At 40.1% G+C, this 20,000-nt stretch overlaps 2 annotated features.

Moving 5' to 3' along the window:
• Positions 8,731-9,265: an enhancer, noted in NCBI's record as "OCT4-NANOG hESC enhancer chr17:55002389-55002923 (GRCh37/hg19 assembly coordinates)". NCBI's record gives its function as "activates a minimal SCP1, AML or CMV promoter by ChIP-STARR-seq in naive and primed H9 embryonic stem cells {active_cell/tissue: H9 hESC(naive and primed)}" and the evidence as "EXISTENCE:reporter gene assay evidence [ECO:0000049][PMID:30033119]".
• Positions 16,199-16,399: a silencer, noted in NCBI's record as "peak2907 fragment used in MPRA reporter construct". NCBI's record gives its function as "represses an SCP1 promoter by STARR-seq MPRAs in K562 erythroleukemia cells {active_cell/tissue: K562}" and the evidence as "EXISTENCE:reporter gene assay evidence [ECO:0000049][PMID:32103011]".

Raw genomic sequence — 20,000 nt, 5'->3', positions numbered from 1 at the left:
AAGGTCCTGCTCCAAATTTTCAGCAGAACTTGCATCCCATCCTTTTAAATTTATTTTCATCTGTTACAAACAATGTGTGCCACATTTCATGTAGCTGCCATATTTAAACTCTAGTTACATCTTTGGGTAGGAGGAAATCAGTCACCTATTTCTCATCAGAGATACTTTTATCTTGTAGGGCTTGGAAGATTTCTGCTGACTACATTCATCCATTGTCTCCTAACCGTTGTGTCTTCTGATGTTGAATTGACATAGCTTTCTTCCCACTGCTCTAGCCACTTAAAACAAATGATCCCACTTTCAAAGAGGTTATATTAAGACAACAGCAGCTGGGTGTGGTGGCTCATGCCTGTAACCCTAGCACTTTGGGAAGTCAAGGTGGGCAGATCACTGAGGTCAGGAGTATGAGGCCAGCCTGGCCAACATGGCAAAACCCTGTCTCTATCTACTAAAAATACAAAAATTATCTGGGCATGGTGGCGGGTGCCTGTAATCCCAGCTACTCGGGAGGCTGAGGCAGGAGAATTGCTTGAACCTGGGAGGCGGAGGTTGCAGTGAGCTGAGATGGCACCACCGTGGTCCAGCCTGGGCGACAGAGTGAGACTGTCACAAAAACAAAACAAAAAAACCCAACCCAGTTTTGTGGGGTTATTAAATTGAACAGGAGAGAGAAGTCATTCACAGATGGATTAGTGAGAGATTACAGGAAAATAAGCACAGTGAAACCCCAGAGGAATGCAGTTGGGATATAGTGGGAATGGTGTTTGCCTCCTGTCTTCTGCAGATGCTCGCCTCAATCATTTTATTAACCTTGCAGTAACACAAACCCACATGATAAGGGACCAGATTTAGAGACACCATTTACAGGGTTTTGGCAGGGTTTCATCATATAAAATGTGGCAATTAGATCACGCCACTGCACTCCAGCCTGGTGACAGAGCGAAACTCGGTCTCAAAAAAAAAAAATTGGCAATTAAGGTAATGTCTGGACAGGGTGCAGTGGCTCATGCCTGTAATTCCAACACTGGGAGACTGAGGTGGGAGGATTGCTGGAGGCCAGGTATTCCAGACCAGCCTGGGCACATAGCGAGACCGCATCTCTACAGAAAAATAGAAACAAATTAGCTGGGCTTGGTGGTGTGTGCCTATAATTTCAGCTACTCAGGAGGCTGCAGTGGGAGGATCACTTGAGCCCAAGAGGTCAAGGCTGCAGTGAGCTATGATTGCACCACTGCACTCCAGCCTAAATGACAGAGCAAAGACTGTCTTGAAAAAATAAAATAAAATAATGATATTTGTAGGGTACATTGGGGTAAGCAGAGCTGTAGAGCTCAAAGTCTTGGAATGCAGGTAATGTGAGCCATTTGAGCATACCAGTGCTTTGCAACAGAGCAGTTGGTTTAGGGGCAAGGAATTAGTAGTTTAGGACCAGAATGCCCTGACCAGCCCTGACTATCCCTACCATCATGTTGGCCTGGCCACCATCAGCATAGGAGAAGCCATCACTGCCACTGTGGCCCCAGATGGAGACCCACAGCTGGAGACAAGAAAATTATCACAAGGAAGCTTTGGAGAGTAGAAATGACAGTAGCTATGTGCCAGCTGTTTTTCCAAGCACTTTACAGGTATTAATTCATTTACATAACTTAGGAGATAGGTACTGTTATTTTCTCCCTTTCACAGAAGAGGAAACTGAGGCACAGAGGTTAAACTCCTTGCCTATGAATACAGTGAATGAAAGAGCCTGATTCAAACACAGGTTGTCTTCTCCAGAACTTGTACTCAACCACTATGTCCCATAAAGAAACAGGTGCAGAATTAAGTGAAAAAGTAAATTATAGCACATTATATACTTACAGAGTTTATTTCTCATTTGAATTTTAAAAGGAAGCTCCTTGGGTGTGGTGGTATGCCTGTAGTCCTAGCTACTTGGGAGGCTGAGGTGGGAGAATCACTTGAGCCTGGGAGGTTGAGGCTGCAGTGAGCTGTCACCATGTCACTGCACTTCAGCCTGAGTGACAAGAGTGAGACTTTTTCCAAAAAAAAAAAAAGGCTCCTGATGTAGGATATGGATAAAAATGTTCTGGAAGGACATGCATGAAACGTAATAATAGTCACTGACTGCTCTGCAGAGGGACTGATGGGTAAGGAGCTGCTGCTTTTTTTTTTTTGAGACATCCGGGCTGGAGTGCAGTGGCACTATCTCGGCTCACTGCAACCTCTGCCTCCCAGGTTCATGCGATTCTCCTGCCTCAGCCTCCTGAATAGCTAAGATTACAGGCATGCACCACCACGCTTGACTAATTTTTGTATTTTTAGTAGAAATAGGGTTTCACCACATTGGCCAGGCTGGTCATGAACTCTTGACCTCAAGTGGTCCACACGCCTCAGCCTCCCAAAGTGCTGGAATTACAGGCAAGAGCCACTGTGCCTGGCCATACAACTTTACAAAAGCACAGCTTAGTTTTTATTGACTCCAAATTATGAAAAATGGGGAAAAAGGAAAAATAATGGAAACATTATTTTGAAGAGTTGTAGCTAAGAAAAATTAGAATTCAGTCCAAACTGTAAAAAATAATAAAAATGAAAAATATTAGGCAAGATTAGAATCTAGCAACATGTGTACTATAGTTTTTGAAACAATTTTTCTCTCTCCAGTTTCCCATTTTTACTAAAGACAGATCATTATGGGACTGATTTGCATTATTATACTTGGCCTAATTATTTGTATATAGTGCAGCAAGGATAATTTTTTTTTACATAGGCTTTTAAATTGGCTTTGATGGAACTTTGTTCCATAGAAGGAATCTCAGATAAGACTTTTTAAAAGCTGAACGTGGCCATGGATTTGTACCATCAAATACCTATGAGTTGGGTGATTCCTCTCCTCTTGTGGTTCCAAGATAAACTTGGTGCTCCTGGGCCTGTCAGAAAGTGACATTCTTTACTTATCACAGGTCAGAAACCCTGTACAGGAACTGTAGACAAAGGTATGAGGCCAGTTTTTCCAAGGGGTTCCTACTGGCTCTATAAGTCAAGTTTGATTCCTTAAAGCACACCATTCCAGTCAAAGCCTTAGTAAAATAACTAGTTTCTCCAGTTGTGTCCTGTTACAAATTAAAACAGATTCTTATTGCACTTATGCAAATAACTGTATTGTCATAAGTTAAGAACACTCACAGTTTCCAAATTATGTAGAAATCAGGTAGAGAGAAACAAATAGACTCCAAATTTTGTTCATGGGTGCATACTCAATTGTTAAAAGCTGTAAATAGCTTAAAAGAAAAGTTTTCTTCATTCTGAAAAACGAAACAAAGGATCAGCAACACTTTAAGCAAAAAGTTAAAAAGATTACTTCAGACTTCTATTAGTTTAGTCTATGCAGTGAATTCCTGTTCTGCGTGATATTCATGAACATTTAAGCTCTCCATGAGTACTGAAAGTTTTTCCTTAATTCTGATGTCACAATCTCCAAAGTTATCAGAAACCTGCATTCAAGAGCACCTATTAGAGTTTTATAGCTGATTATAAAACCACCTTCTAAAGAGGACCAAAACAAGACAAAAATTGTCTGTGGATGACAAAAAGTTTTAGTGCAGCCATAGTCAAAGACACAATTGACAGGAAATCTGTCACTTCTGTGGCACGTAATACTTTAATGTAACAATTATTACTGATAACATACATTAAGTCATATCAGTATTATAGGAGTTTCCCATAATTTTGGAACATATATGACTAACATATTTATACAAATACAGCCCAAAGAAAACCAAACACCATTTCATATTTGTCAATGCTTCCTGTATAATTTTTATACCAAGTAAGCCAAATATGTCATTTTTGGACTTTAGGGAACCTATTAATATCTTAAAGAGTTACTTAGGTCAGAAAGAGATAATTTATCATTTAATTTTGGAAACTTTGTCAAATACCAAAAGTTTAAAACACTTGATATTACAAAATAGGATCCCAGGCCATTGTAAAATAAGTCATTCATTTAACCAAAGTAATAATTCAAAGATTTTTTAAAAAGGCAAAAACCTTCATTCTTTGAGACAGGAGACTTAATTTTCCAAATGATAAGCCCTAATAAAAACGGCATGAAGACAATTAAATTTTTTTCCAAAATTTTATAAGCAATCTATAAAATTTTTATCTTGACCATAAGATATAACTTCCATAAACCTTTATAACCTTTAATAAGGAGTTGGTTAATGCTTCAAGAAAACCTTGTTAATTTGACACAGGGGCCCATATGCTGGTCTTGCATCAGTGTGCCTTTGACATTAATGATTAATTTATAGAGAAACTGAACTTATTTTATCTCTCAAAATCAGCCCTTACAATCTCACATGCCCACCTCTTCTGCAATAGTCCCTGGGCCTTGAGGAGTTGAATAGCTTTAATTTCTGGCCCTGTGTCTCAGGAATGCAGTTTGTTTTGATTAGCATCTTCTATTGGGCCTGAAGATGAGGCTTTAATTGCTGCCAGTATTTAAGATTTAGCAAGACTTGGTGTTCTTTTTGGACCCAGGAGTCAAAGCCCTGTAACTCAATGTCACAAGTACTTTAAAAGGGCATACAGAGAGATACACAGATGTAATAACCTTAATTTAAACAAATTTTATTCTCAATTTTTTCCCTAAGCAAACCAAAGCTTAATAATAATATGACAACTTGATCATATAAACTTTTTTTTGTTTTTATAAATCCTCTTATTGTGATTTATACAGACCATTCATGACATGCTTGGACTTTCTGGTTTGTCTTGAACATCCCTTTCTTAAACAACCAGTTATTTTACTTTAGGACTAAATTTACCACACAAGATTCTTTCTCATATGAAATTATTTCTCTTTAAGCTTTTTTAAATGATTACCAAAAAACCCTCTTTATTTTCATAACTTTCTTTACATCTCTCTTATTTCTTTGTTCCTTTTACCTTGTTTTATACATGACCTTTAAATAAACTTTAAATCAGATAAAAATTGTTCACCTTTTTTAAAAGGACACTTTTTTTTTTTTGAGATGGGGAGTTTTGCTCTTGTTGCCCAGGCTGGAGTGCAATGGCGTGATCCCTGCTCACCGCAACCTCCGCCTCCCGGGTTCAAGTGATTCTCCTGCCTCAGCCTCCCGGGTAGCTGGGATAACAGGCACCTGCCGCCACGCCCAGCTAATTGTTGTATTTTTAGTAGAGACAGGGTTTCACCATGTTTGCCAGGCTGGTCTTGAACTCCTGACCTCAGGTGATCCACCTGCCTCGGCCTCCCAAAGTGCTGGGATTACAGGTGTGAGCCACCCTGCCTGGCCAGGATACATTTTTTTAAATAGAAAGAATGTTTTCCTACAATATATTTTAATTGGAAAATACCCAAATAATGATATACCTATTATTTAATTTAACTTTAGATTCTAAATTATGACAAGTTTGTCTGCAAGTATTTATCCCATTACATTTATCTATTTTAATTGTTTACCCAGATTTATGAAAACTGCAATAGTCATCATTTAAAGTTATGAAACTTGCCATTGCAAAATTCTGAGACAGTGAAAAATATATGACCTAATGGACTCCATCTTGCTTCTAACCTCCAAGCTGTCCTTGTTCATTCCTGAACTTTGGGAGTAACTTAGTTTATAGTTTCACTTTGAAACGAAGATGATAACAGTCCTTTCCGAAAACACACCTTACTGCCTGTGGACTAGACCACCTAAAGCCACAAGATAGAAGTATGGTAATCTTATTAAATTCAAGATGCAGCTATTTTTATTAAATCAATGTCAGTGTCTTATTTATTAAAGACGACATGAGCAAAGGTCATTATGTTTTGGGCTGGCTTTATAGTTTTGTAACCCCCATGTCAAATTTTGACACCTTGTAGTATTTGGCAGGGATAAGTATGAAATTGCTTGGTCAATAAATGCAAACAAAAAGATGTATGCTGGCAATTCTTAAGACATTTCTAATATTAAATTACCAATAATTAAATTTATTTATTTATTTTTTGAGACGGAGTCTGGCTCTGTCGCCCAGGATGGAGTGCAGTGGTGCGATCTCGGCTCACTGCAGGCTCTGCCTCCCGCGTTCACGCCATCCTCCTGCCTCAGTCTCCCGAGTAGCTGGGACTACAGGTGCCCACCACCATGCCTGGCTAATTTTTTGTATTTTTAGTAGAGACGGGGTTTCACTGTGTTAGCCAGGATGGTCTCGATCTCCTGACCTTGTGATCTGCCCGCCTTGGCCTCCCAAAGTGCTGGGATTACAGACGTGAGCCACCGCGCCTGACCATTACCAATAATTTTAAAACTAGCTTATTTATTAAAGATTTTACTTGGCTGGGCACAGTGGCTCACGCCTGTAATCCCAGCACTTTGGGAGGCCGAGGCAGGCGGATCACAAGGTCAGGAGATCGAGACCATCCTGGCTGACATGTTGAAACCCCGTCTCTACTAAAAATACAAAAAATTAGCCAGGCATGGTGGCAGGCACCTGTAGTCCCAGCTACTCGGGAGGCTGAGGCAGGAGGATGGCGTGAACACGGGAGGCAGAGCCTGCAGTGAGCTGAGATTGTGCCACTGCACTCCAACCTGGGTGACAGAGCGAGACTCTCTTTCAAAAAAAAAAAAAAAAGATTGTACTTACTTAAGGTATGTAAACTTGAAAAAGCATTTGACTAGTCTTTTCTTTTTTCCTGATAAAGTATTTGATTCAAACACTTTTATTTTCTTAAGACAATTAATTAGAGCTCTTTTATATATTTTCAGCAGTGAAACATTGTGTACACAACACACACATACATAGAGATATTAGGCATGCAAATAGAAGCACATTTTATAGATTCATAAAAACCTGTTTTTTTCTATTTCAGACTTTCAGATTCTTGATAACCTGTTTCACAGCCCTAGGCAGTTGTCAGTTAAGTAGCCTTAAATTTGCATATTAAAGGAAACAACTCAGTTGAAAATCAAATAGCAAAATTTACATCATAAGGTATGGAGAGAAAAAGTCTGGTGTGCTAGAGGAAGATTAAAGATGGATGCCAGATCAAACATAAAATTATAAAAACGTATCATAGGATTGTACAAGGAGACCAATTTTATTTAGATAGGTCTTACCTGTCTTTTACCTGGATCTCTGGGCAGAGCCCACACTGAATCCTGGGTCTCCAAAAAGGGAGAATTACTATTAGGCTAAACCACGTGATGTTTTTACAGGGGACTTAAAAAATTTTTTTTTGTAACAAAGACATTTTTAAGTGTCTACACCCCATGCTTCTTTAAAAACCCAAGAGTAGCCTCTGTTGCAATAACTATTTTAGTCAATAAATCAGGTAACACCATACAAAAGCAAGCAGTTTAAGGGCTTAGACAAACTTGTCTGTTTACACTGTTGGGATTCCATAAGGAAAAACAGGTTTCTCCCCTAAAGGGAGTCTGGTGCCTTCTCCGTTTGCTTTAAGGAACTCCAGGCTATTATAAGCTATTTTAGGTCCCTCATACAGCAGAGGGTGCAAGAGAAAGGAGAGATAGCAGAAGTAAATGAAGAATTCAGTCAACTGAGAAGAAAAAACTTTTGTTCAAAAAAGAGACAAGGTCCTAGAAGAAAAACAAAACAAAAATATGAAGGCCTTTGAAATATAAACACACATATGCACAGATACACACACATCTTGGATGTTAGCTTTAAATTAATGGTGACTTTTAACTATTGAGCTCCTTTAAAAAAATCTTTTTAAATCTTATTACCATATTTCAGTGAGGACAATTGCTGCTATTTCAGAAGTACAGCCATTGCTCTTTCAGTTCAGCCTGGCTAGCAAAATGGTGGCCTTGTTATGTAAATAAAGCCCCTTAGTAGTCAAAATTTTTCCACATTTTTTTTCTTCTGCTGGCTGTTTTTCTCCCCTCACCACACCAGCTGGTGGTTAATCTTAAATTTAGCCAAGAGAAACCCCAATTCAGTTACTTACCTAGGGATGGGTCTCAGGCTGAAGACAGCTCTCTACCATCCTAGAAGCAGGAAAAAAATAACCTCATCTTCCCTGTTGTAAGTGAGCTGAAACTCCATAAAGGAGTTACCTGCTTTCCATCGTCATGGAAGCAGGAAAAACTTGCCTTCCTTGTGTTGGAAGCAAGTAAAACTCCAAAAAAGAGTTGCACAGCAAAATAAACTTTAGATCTCAATCAAATATTGGGAAATCAGAGATTCTCTGGAGGGTGTGCTTCCAGGCCTCAGCAAATTGTCCTATTGGTTTGAGCCATAAAGATAGCTCAAGCTGGTGCCAAGCACCAATAGGAGATTTGTCAAAGGTCAGGGGCACCTCCACGTAGAATCCCTCTGTGGTTACCAAAATGTGAACTTCGAAAATCTGAGACAAGTCTCAGTTAATTTAGAAAGTTTTGGTCGGGCGCGGTGGCTCACGCCTGTAATCCCAGCACTTTGGGAGGCCGAGGCGGGCGGATCATGAGGTCAAGAGATCGAGACCATCCTGGCTAACACGGAGAAACCCTGTCTCTACTAAAAATACAAAAAATTAGCTGGGCGTGGTGGCGGGCGCCTGTAGTCCCAGCTACTAGGGAGGCTGAGGCAGGAGAATGGCGTGAACCCGGGAGGCGGAGCTTGCAGTGAGCCGAGAGCGCGCCACTGCACTCCAGCCTGGGTGACAGAGTGAGACTCCATCTCAAAAAAAAAAAAAAAAAAAAAAAAAAAAGAAAGTTTATTTTGCCAAGGTTGAGGATGCACACCTGTGACATGGCCTCAGGTGGTCCTGACTATGTATGCCCAATGTAGTCAGAGCACAGTTTGGTTTTACACATTTTAGGGAGACAGAAGACATCAATCAACATATGTAAGATGAATATTGCTTCAGTCTGGAAAGGTGGGACAACTCTAGGTGGGGAGGGAACTTCCAAGTCATAGGTAGGTAAGAGACAAATGGTAGCATTCTTTTCAATTTCTGATTAGCCCCTTCAAAGGAGGCATTCAGATACGCATTATCTCAGTGAGCAGAGGGGTGTCTGAATAGAATGGGAGGCAGGTTTGCCTTAAGCAGTTCCCAGCTTGACTTTTCCCTTTAGCTTAGTGATTTTTGGGCCAGCCCCAAGATATTTTCCTTTCACAGTGTGTAGTGGCATCTCATCGTTGTCTTAATATGTCCCATCCCAATGACATATGATATGATGTTGAGCATCTTTTCATATGTTTATTTGCCATCTGGATATCTTCTTTAGTGAGGTGTCTGTTCAGACCTCTTGCCCATTTTTTAAATGGTTGTTTTATTGTAGAGTTTTAAGAGGTTTTTGTTTTTGTTTTTTGAGATGGGGCTCTTGCTCTATCACCCAGGCTGGAGTGCAGTGGTGAAATCCTAGCTCACTGCAGCCTTGAACTCCTGGGTTTAAGCAATACTCCCACCTCAGCCTCCTGAGTAGCTGGGACTACAGGCGGGAGCCACTATGCCCAGCTTAAGAGTTCTTTGTATATGTTGGATAAAAGTCCTTTATCAGATAGAGAGTATATCTCTGCCCAAAAGGGGTGTGGTACATTTAGACATTACCAGGAACTGATGGGAAAAGAGTAATTGGTCCCACAGACAACATAAATCAGGTGTAAAATTTCTGACGAGAGGGGTGCCATTTACCCCTATTACCTCACAGGATTTAGGGGAAAGTTGCCCAGGGGAGGTAAACATGGAGCAGGCTGCTCCCAAATCCAATAAAAAATTCACTGTCCTCCCTGCTACATTTAAGGTTGCCCTTGTCTCTGTCCCTTTGATGATGATGTTAGATCTGAGAGCCAGTCAGAGCAGAAAGCCATTCTGCTCAAAGCCATTATTGGATCGGGGTCTGTGGGGGACTTTTGGCTCTTGGGACAGTCCCTTTTTTAGTGGCTGAGCTTTTGGCACAGGGGTCAGGCCATGTGGGCTTTTTCCCATTTGGCCCATTGGGGCACTTTGTCCTCCAGCAGCCTGGCTTTCCGCACAGATAGCGATTAGCTGGGAGGGTATTCTCAGGGCAGCCTAGAGTGACTGGCAGACTTGTAAAGCAGCTAATAATTGAGCGTGCCTCTTGTCTTTCCGTTTCTTCTTCTCCCTCTCCCTGTTCTTATTCTGATCTCAGTTATAAAAGACTGAGGAAGCTAATTGGAGGATTTCTGAGATGGGGACCGTAGATCTCAAAGCCAACCTTTTGCAATTTTTTTCCTGGATAAAAGTCCTTTAGTAGATACGTCTTATATAAATACTTTCTCCAAGTCAGTGGCTTGTCTTCTCATTCTCTTGATCCTAATACATTTTTAGCTTTAGGAGACAGAGTGAACAAAATTTTAAAAAATGTAAATGGAAGCTGGGCGTGGTGGCTCACACCTGTAATCCCAACATTTTGGGAGGCCACGGTGGGCAGATCACTTGAGGTCAGGCGTTTGTGACCAGCCTGGCCAATATGGTGAAACCCCATCTCTACTAAAAATACAAAAATTAGCCGGGCAGGGTGGTGAGCACCTGTAATCCCAGCTACTTGGGAGGCTGAGGCAGGAAAATTGCTTGAACCTGGGAGGCAGAGGTTGCAATGAGCCAAAATCACACCACTGCACTCCAACCTGGGTGACAGAGCGAGACCCCGTCTTAAAAAAAAAAAAAAAAGTGGCCAGGCGCGGTGGCTCATGCCTGTAATCCCAGCACTTTGGGAAGCTGAGGTGGGTGGATCACGAGGTCAAGAGATCAAGATCATCCAGGCCAACATGGTGAAACCCCATCTCTACTAAAAATACAAAAATTAGCTGGGCGTGGTGGTGCGTGCCTGTAGTCCTAGCTACTTGGGAGGCTGAGGCAGGAGAATCACTTGAACTGGGGAGGCAGAGGATGCAGTAAGCCGAGATCACGCCACTGCACTCCAGCCTGGCGATAGAGCAAGATTCCGTCTCAAAAAAAAAAAAAAAAAGTAACTGGAGACAGGGTAGCGCTGGATTAACCAAATGGTGGATATGATCTAAGTTTAGGGCATCAGTAGAAAGGGGAATAAAAGCCACGAGAAACACAAAGTTTTGAAAGACTCTGATGTTGGCTGGGCGTGGTAGCTCATGCCTGTAAGCCCAGCACTTCAAGAGGCTGAGGTGGGAGGATTCCTTGAGGTCAGAAGTTTGAGAAAGCCTAGGCAACATGGCAAAACCCTGTCTCTACAAAAAATACAAAAATTAGCTGGATGTGCTGGTGTACGCCAGTGGTCCCAGCTACTCAGGAGGCTGAGGTAGGAGGATGGCTTGAACCCAGGAGTCGGAGGTTGTAGTGAGCCAAGATCATGCCACTGCACTCCAGCCTGGGTGTCAAAGCAAGTTTCTGTCTCAAAAAAAAAAAAAAAAAAGAAACAAGGTTTAATAACTGTTTAAAACAAATATAATAATATAATACTGTGGGGTTACTATATATGCAGACGTTAAATACAACCACAGTAAATGGACAAGAACAGCAAAAGAGAGGGTAAGTGAAATTTTAATGTAATAAGGTTATCATATTTTATATGAAATAGTGCAATTTGATTTATTGATTTATTTATTAGAAATAAGGTCTTGCTATATTTCCCAGGCTGGTCTTGAACTCCCGGCCCCAAGCAATCCTCCCAACCTCGGCCTCATTGTACCATGGTAACTGTAAATAGACTGTGCTAAGTTAGAGATGCATGTTATCATCCTTAGCACAACCACCATGAATATAGTAACACAAGGAAATTTGGGAAAGTAAAACAATATGTGGAAATTAAACAACATACTCCTAAGTAGCCAATGGATTAAATAAGAAATCACAAGGGAAATTAGAAAATAGTTTGAGATGAATGAAAATGAGAATATTCCATACCAAAACTCTTGAAATGCAGTCAAAAACATGCTTAGAAGGAAACTTATCACTATACATACCTATATTACAAAAAAAGAGGAAAGAAAAAAAGAAAGATCTCAAATCAATAACCTCAAATCACCAATTTTGTTGATAAAATCCAATACCCTTTCATGACTAAAACACTCTATAAAATCAGGAAAAAAGACTTTCTCAACTTAATAAAGGGCATGTAGAAAAGAAGAACAAACTAAACTCAGAGAAACAAAAGGAAGGAAATCATAAAGATTATGGTGGAAAGAAAGGAAATAGATAATAGAAAAACAATAGAGAAACTCAATAGTGTCGAAAGTTGGTTCTTTGAAAAGATTGATAAAATTGACAGAACTTTAGCTAGATAGAACGAGAATAAAAAAGAAGACTCAGATTACTAAAATCAGAAATAAAAGTCGTGGCCAGGTGTGGTGGCTCATGCCTGTAATCCCAGCACTTTGGGAGGCCGAGGCGGGTGGATCACAAGGTCAGGAGTTCGAGACGAGCCTGTCCAAGATGGTGAAACCCTGTCTCTACTAAAAATACAAAAATTAGCTTGGTGTGATAGCGCACGCCTGTAGTCCCAGCTACTTGGGAGGCTGAGGCAGAATCGTTTGAACCCAGGAGGCAGAGGTTACGGTGAGCCGAGATCCTGCCATTGCACTCCAGCCTGGGCGACAAGCACGAAACTCCATCTCGAAAAAAAAAAGAAAAAATAAAAAAAATAAAAGTCAGGATATTACTACTGACCTTACAGAAGGAAAAAAATATTATAAAGGAATACTGTGAATAATTGCATACCAACAAATTAGATAACCGAGATTAAATGGACACATTCCTGGAAACTCAAATTACCAAAACCAACTTAAGAAGAAATAGAAAACTCGAATAGGCCTATAACAGGCAAAGAGATTGAATTAGTAATCAAAATTCTTCCCTGAAAGAAAAGCCCAGGACCAGGTAGCTTCACTGGTGAATTATGCAGATATTTAAAGAGAATTAACATCAATCCATCACAAACTCTTCCAAGAAATAAAAGGATAGAGAACATTTCCCAATTCATTCTTTGAGGCCAGTATTAGCCAAAGACATCACAAGAAAAAATTACAGAATCATATCCCTTATGAATATAGACACAAAAATTCTCTACAAAATACTAGCAAACCAAATTCAGCAATGTATAAAAAGCATTTTTTTTCCGTAATATACACCATTATACACTATGACCAAGTGGGATTTACCTCAGGAGTGCGAAGTTTTTTCAACATATGAAAATCAGTACAATTACACCATGTTAATAAAAGAGTAAAAACTCATAGTTATCTAAATAGATTCAGAAGAAGCATTTGACAAAATCCAACACACTTTAATGATAAATATACTCTGCAATTTAGGAGCAGAAAATTTCTTCAACCTAATAAAGGGCATCTATAAAAAACCCATAGCTAACCTCATACTCAGTGGTGAAAGACTAAAAAATTTTTCCCTAAGGTGAAGAACAAGACAAGGATGTTTCCTATTGCCATTTATGTTCAGCATTGTACTGGAGATTCTAGCCAGAACAACTGACCAAAAAGGAAATAAAAATAAAAATTACAAGATACAAATAAATTAAAAAATAAAATATTGGAAAGGAAGAAGTAAAACTATTTCTACTTACAGATGACATAATCTTGTATGTAGAAAATCCTAACAAATTAACACATAACAACTATTATAAGTAATAAACTAGTCCAGCAAAGTTGCAGGACACAAGATCAATATACAAAAATCAATTATATTTCTATGCAATAGCAGTGAACAATCTGAAAATGAATTAAGAAAACAATTCCGGCCAGGGGCGGTGGCCCATGCCTGTAATCCCAGCACTTTGGGAGGCTGAGGCAGGGGTATCATTTGAGATCAGGAGTTTGAGACCAACCTGACCAACGTGGAGAAACCCCATCTCTACTAAAAAAAAAAAAAATACAAAATTAGCCAGACGTGGTGGCGCATGCCTGTAATCCTGGCTACTCAGGAAGGTTGAGGCAGGAGAATCACTTGAACCCACCAGGCGGAGGTTGTGGTGAGCCAAGATCGTGCCATTGCACTCCAGCCTGGGCAACAAGAGTGAAACTCCATCTCAAACCAACAAACAAACAAAAAAGAAAACAATTCTATTTACAATAGAATCAAAAAGAATATAATACTTAGGAATAAATTTAACAAAGTGCAAGAATTGTACACCGCAAATTAAAAAAACTTATTGAAAGAAATGAAAGAACTAAATAAATGGGAAGACATCGCATGTACATAACTCTGAAGACTTAATATTGTTAAGATGGCAATACTCCAAATGACTCCTCAAATTGATCTGCATATTCAACACAATCCCCATTAAAATCTGAGCTGGAATTTTAGCAGATATTGAAGAGCTGATGTTAAAATTCAAGAGACCCAGAATAGCTAAAACAATCTTGAGAGAGAAGAGCAAAATTGAAAGACTCACATTTCCTGATTGTGAAATTTATCACAAAGATATAGTAATCAAGACTGTGGTGCTGGCATAAGGAGAGACATAGACAGAATAGAATTGAGAGTCCAGAAATAAGCCCATGCATTTAGGGAGAATTGGTTTCAGCCAGGTTGCCAAGATATTTCGACTGGGGAGAGTATAGCCTTTTCAACAAATGGTGTTTGTATAACTAGATGTAAAAGAATGAAATTGGACCCCTACCCCACACCATATATAAAAATTAATTCAAAATGGATCAAAGACCTAAATGGAAGAGCTAAACTATAAATCTCATAGAAGAGGCCAGGTGTGGTGGCTCATGCCTGTAATCCCAACACTTTGGGAGGCTGAGGCAGGAGGATTGCTTGAGCCAGGAGTTTGAGACCAGCCTGGGCAACATAGTGAGACCCTGTCTCTATAAAAAACTAAAACATTAGATGGATGTGTTGGCAAGTACTTGTGGTCCCAGCTACTTGGGAGGTTGAGCCCAGGAGGTTGAGGCTATAGTGAGCTGTGATCACACCACTGCACTCCAGCCCGGGCAACAGAGCAAGACCTTGTCTCAAAAAAAAAAAAAAAAAAAAACAAAAGGCACAGGATTCCAATAGACATTTTTTCCAAAGAAGATATACAAATGCCCAACATACACATGAAAGGTTGCTAAACATCATTAGTCATTGTCATTGGGAAATGCTAATCATAACCATAATGATGTAACACTTCACACCCACTAGGAGAACTATACTAAAAAAGATGGACAATAACAAATGTTGCAAAACCGGAGCCCTCATATACTGCTAGTGAGATTATAAAATGGTACACTGGCTTTCGAAAACAGTTGGCAGTTCCTGGAAATGTTACACACACAATTACCACATGACACAGCATTTCCACTTAGGTATATGTCCCCATGAGAACGGAGAACACATGTTCATACAAAACCAGAAATGTTCATAGCAGTATTCTTTATAATAGTCAAAAAGTGCAAACAACCCAAAGGTCCATCAATGGATGAGTGGATAAACAAAATATGTGATATATCTATGATTGTAGCCGTAAAAGGGCCAAATATTAGGTAGCCATAAAAGGGACAAATTACTGATACAGGTTACAATATGGATGAACTTTGAAACGTGCTCAGTGAAAGAAGCCAGGTGTAACAGAACATAATGTTTGATTCCATTTATATGAAATGTCCAGAGTAGGCAAATCCATATAGACAGAAAGTAGACTAGTCATTGCCAGGGGCTGGGATACAGAGGTGAATGGAGAATAACTACTAAATGGGTATAGAATTTCTTTTGGAATAATGAAAATGTTCTGGAATTAGATAGTGGTGATGGTTGTACAACCTTTTGAACATACAAAACACATTAAATTGTACACTTAAAAATATGAATTTTATCATATATGAATTATATCTCAATACAAAATATAATGTAAAATACAAAATAATGGGAAAGGTCTGTCAGTAATGAGCCAGGTTAAAAAAAAATAATAAAGGAATAATAATAATATGGCAATATTACAATCTTTTGGCCATAAATTCATTAAAGAAAATGAACAAATTCCTTGAAAAAGACAACTTACCAAAAACTGACACAAGAAGAAATAAAAGCCAGGAAGGTAAAAAATAAGTAAAAATAAACAAAAGAAGAAACAAAAATGCTGAATATTCCTATAACAGTTAAAAAAACTGAATTAGTAATTTAAAACCTTCTTATGAAGAAAATTCCAGGCCAAGATAGTTTTTTTTTTTTGTTTTTTTGTTTTTTTTAAGGACACATGACTGTGACTCAGCCTCAGGAGGTCCTGACGTCATGTGCCCCGGGATAGCTTTAATAGAAGAGAAAGTTAAGGAAATTTCCTAGAAGGCGAGCAAAAAGACAAAGAAGACCAGTTCAAGAGGTTCAGAATCCATGAATTCTATCAAACATTTAAGAAATAATGCCAATTTTACACAAGCTCAGAAAATACAGGAAAGAACAGTTCTCAATTCATTTTGATGAATACGGCATGACCTTGATAGCAAATCCTGACAAAGATATTACAAGAAAATTTTAGACTACCATCCCTCATGCACACAGATGTAAACACCCTTAACAAAACACCAACAAATCAAATCCAGCAATTTATAAAACAATAATGCATCATGACCAAGGGGGTTTATTTCAGGAATGCATGGTTGGTTTGATGTTTCATTAGTATAATTCACCATATTGGCCAAATCAAGAAAGAAAAAAAACTATGATCAGTGTTGTTTAGAAAAGTATTGATAAAATAAAAGAGAGTACCTCAACAACAAAATGATCATAGTTATTATGGAAAAGATAGAAATTTTGTTAGAACTCTTTACACTTAATTTCTGGTTAAGAATAGATTTTTGTTTGCTTGCTTGTTTTAAAATTTCATCATGTGGGGGCATGGGCACCATAGTCTTTTCCATATCTCAGGAATGATAATCCTAGGACTTTGTCTGTAGCCGTTTGTGTGATTGTAGGTCATTTAGACTTCTCTGGTCATCTTTCAAATGAGAAAAGGAACAGATGTCCTTCATAAAGTGTTGAGGACTGGAGCACTGGGTGTTAGAACCACACCCACAATCTGACCTTAAATTCTATGAATTGTCATTGGTAGAAATAATTGGCAGATTATATTTGCAGACAAAGTTTATTACTCCACCTAATTTTCCTAGCCTACAGATGCAGAGTGAGAATCTGATTAAGATAGCCAGCCATCTGCTGGATTAGGCCATATAGCTCCCTTTTGACTAGCTGGGTCATATTTGACTTGACAACATTGTTCTACTGTGGTTACTGATGATAAACACACCCTCCAGCCCTGGGGACAGTCCCTGGACCTCCAAAGCCCATTTAAGGATTAACACTCATGATGCCCCAATCCTGCCTATATTACTGTAATTCATGTGTGTTTAAACAAAACAAAACAAAAAACACAAAAGAAACAAGGCCGGGCACCACCCAGCACGGTGGCTCATGCCTGTAATCCCAGCACTTTGGGAGGCCAAGGTGGGCAGGTCCTGAGGTCAGGAGTTCGAGATCAGCCTGGCCAACATGATGAAACCCCATCTCTACTAAAAATATAAAAATTAGCCGGGCATGGTGGTGCGTGCCTATAATCCCAGCTACTCGGGATGCTGAGGCAGGAGAATCGCTTGAACCCAGGAGGTGGAGGTTGCAGTGAGCTGAGATGGCGCCACCGCACTCCAGCCTGGGCAAGACAGAGCGAGACTCCGTCTCAAAATTAAATAAAATCGCTGGGATTTACGTGTGTCCTTCCTTCCTTCCTTCCTTCCTTCCTTCCTTCCTTCCTTCCTTCCTTCCTTCCTTCCTTCCTTCCTTCCTCTCTCTCTTTTTGGTGGAGTCTCACTCTGTTGCTGAGGCTGGAGTGCAGTGCCACGATCTCTGCTCACTAGAACCTCCGCCTCCCGGGTTCAAGTGATTCTCCTGCTTTCCTGCCTCAGCCTCCCAAGTAGCTGGGATTACAGGTGCCTGCCGCCATGCCTAGCTAATTTTTGTATTTTTAGTAGAGACAGAGTTTTCACCATGTTGACCAGGCTGGTCTCAAATTCCTGACCTCAAGTGATGCACCTGCCTCATCCTCCCAAAGTGCTGGGATTACAGATGTAAGCCACCGTGACGGGCTCATGTGTTACATTTTTATTCTACAACATCCCATGAAGAAGGTATTATTGGGATTCTTACTGTCCAGATGAGGAATCCATACCCCTAGCAGGACCTGACTTCTCCCCATATTTCTCTTTACTGCTTTATGCTGTTGTCTTCTTCCTGTTTTAGAAGGCAGGCCCAGGTTTGACTCACATCTTACTCATTTAGCACTCAGTCTGTTGCATGCCTATTGCACAGTAGGTCTTAGTAAATATCTACTGCATGGAATTTGATAAAGTATGGCCCTCCTATTCATCCTCATTGGTCTAACAAGCCCTTCTAAACCAACCAGCCTGGAAAGTGAATTCCACATTCTGGCATGAATCACTAGGCCACCTCACCCATGATAAATAGGTCAGAGGGGATTTCACAGTGTTTCCTGGAAACTGCTCCACTCCTCCCTTTGGAGGCAGCATTTTATGGTAGGAAACTCCTGGCTTTGGAAAGCAGATGGGCTGTGTGCCAATGTCCATTCTTAGACACACTATTTAGTTTCTCTAAGCCTCAGTTTTCTCATCTGTAATTTTTTTTTTTTTTTGGTGAAATGAGATTCTATGCATAGCTTTCATTTCCTATCCCCTCATTCTTCTGTCTTCCTCCTCTCTGTGCAAACAAGATGTGGGACAGGCCCATGGTGGCTCATGCCTGTAATTTTGGCACTTTGAGAGGCTGAGGTGGGAGGGTTGCTTGAGGTCAGAAGTTCAAAATGAGCCCAGGCAACGTACAGAGACCTTGTCTCTACAAAACAATGTTTTCAAAAATTAGCTGGGTGTGGTGGCACGTGCTTGTATTCCCAGCTACTTGGGAGGAGTGCCGCACCCTAGACAACAGAGCAAAACCTTGTCAAGAAAAAGAAAGAAAGAAAAAAAAAGAAAAGAGAAGAGAAAAGAAAAGAAAGAAAGGGAATACATAAAAGGTAAATGGTAAAAGGTTTTAGGGGAAAAGGAGTCTGCAGAACAAGAATTAGGGGGACCAGGAGTGAGTGACAATGGGGAGGTCAGCGATCCTGAGCTACAGTCCCAGTCCTGCTTTGCATAAATTGAGACTCTCATTCCTAAAATGGACTGGCAGTCTTGCAGGGGTTTATAAGGATTATAAGAGATAACCATGTGACTTATCTAGCACACAAAAGGTACCCCCCCATAAATAGTAGCTATTACAAGGTAATCTAAGACATTTACCTTTTCCTCATTTTGCTACTCACTCTGTCCCCAAAGCAAACTCCAACTAACTCCTTCCAAAACACCATCCTTCTCTTTGCCACCATCCCCCCTCTTTTGAACACTTCTACTCTCCTGTCCACCCATATGTCCTGCAGTCAAGCCAGAGGAGGGAAAACAGAGCAAAAGAAAATATTAAAGGAAGTAAGTTTAAATCAATAACTTTGAGAAAAATATTTAAGTTCCAATATTGTGTGTGTGAGTGTGCGCGCGCGCGACAGAGAGAAAGAGAGCGAGCGAGCGAGGGAGAGAGACAGAGAGAGAAGGAGAGAGAAAGCCTTTGTTAAACTGGGTAACTCCAAATCCCAGGAAAGTAGAAATGGGAATTTTTATAAAAGCATGATACATCAGTAGAATGGAAAGAAATCACCAGGTTTAAATTTGAGTGTGTGACTACGGCCTCCAGTCTTCCGGGATTGTATGTCCGCATGTCCGAGTCCGGGAAGAGGAAAGAGGAAGGATTAAAAAAAAGAAAAAAGAAGAAGAAAAAAAGCACTGTGGTTTAACAGTTCCTTTTTATTTTTTTAAAGGTTGGCCCACAATATAACCAGCGCTGCTAGCGGGGACGGTGGGGACACCTCTGGTCTCAGATGAGTGCTGGGAAGGAGGGGACTTGCTCCGAGCGCAAGTTTGTGCGGAAGCGCGGCTGGACCTGGGCTCTGAATCCGGGGGTCCGGGGTTCTGCACCCAGGCGTCAGCTTCCTCATCCGCAGAGTGGCCCCCAGAAGCCTCCGGGT

Source organism: Homo sapiens, chromosome 17 (genome assembly GCF_000001405.40).
Source record: "Homo sapiens chromosome 17, GRCh38.p14 Primary Assembly".
Classification (NCBI taxonomy): domain Eukaryota; kingdom Metazoa; phylum Chordata; class Mammalia; order Primates; family Hominidae; genus Homo; species Homo sapiens.
The sequence above is the reverse complement of the archived record's forward strand: the minus strand, read 5'-3'. Positions and strand labels throughout refer to the sequence as shown.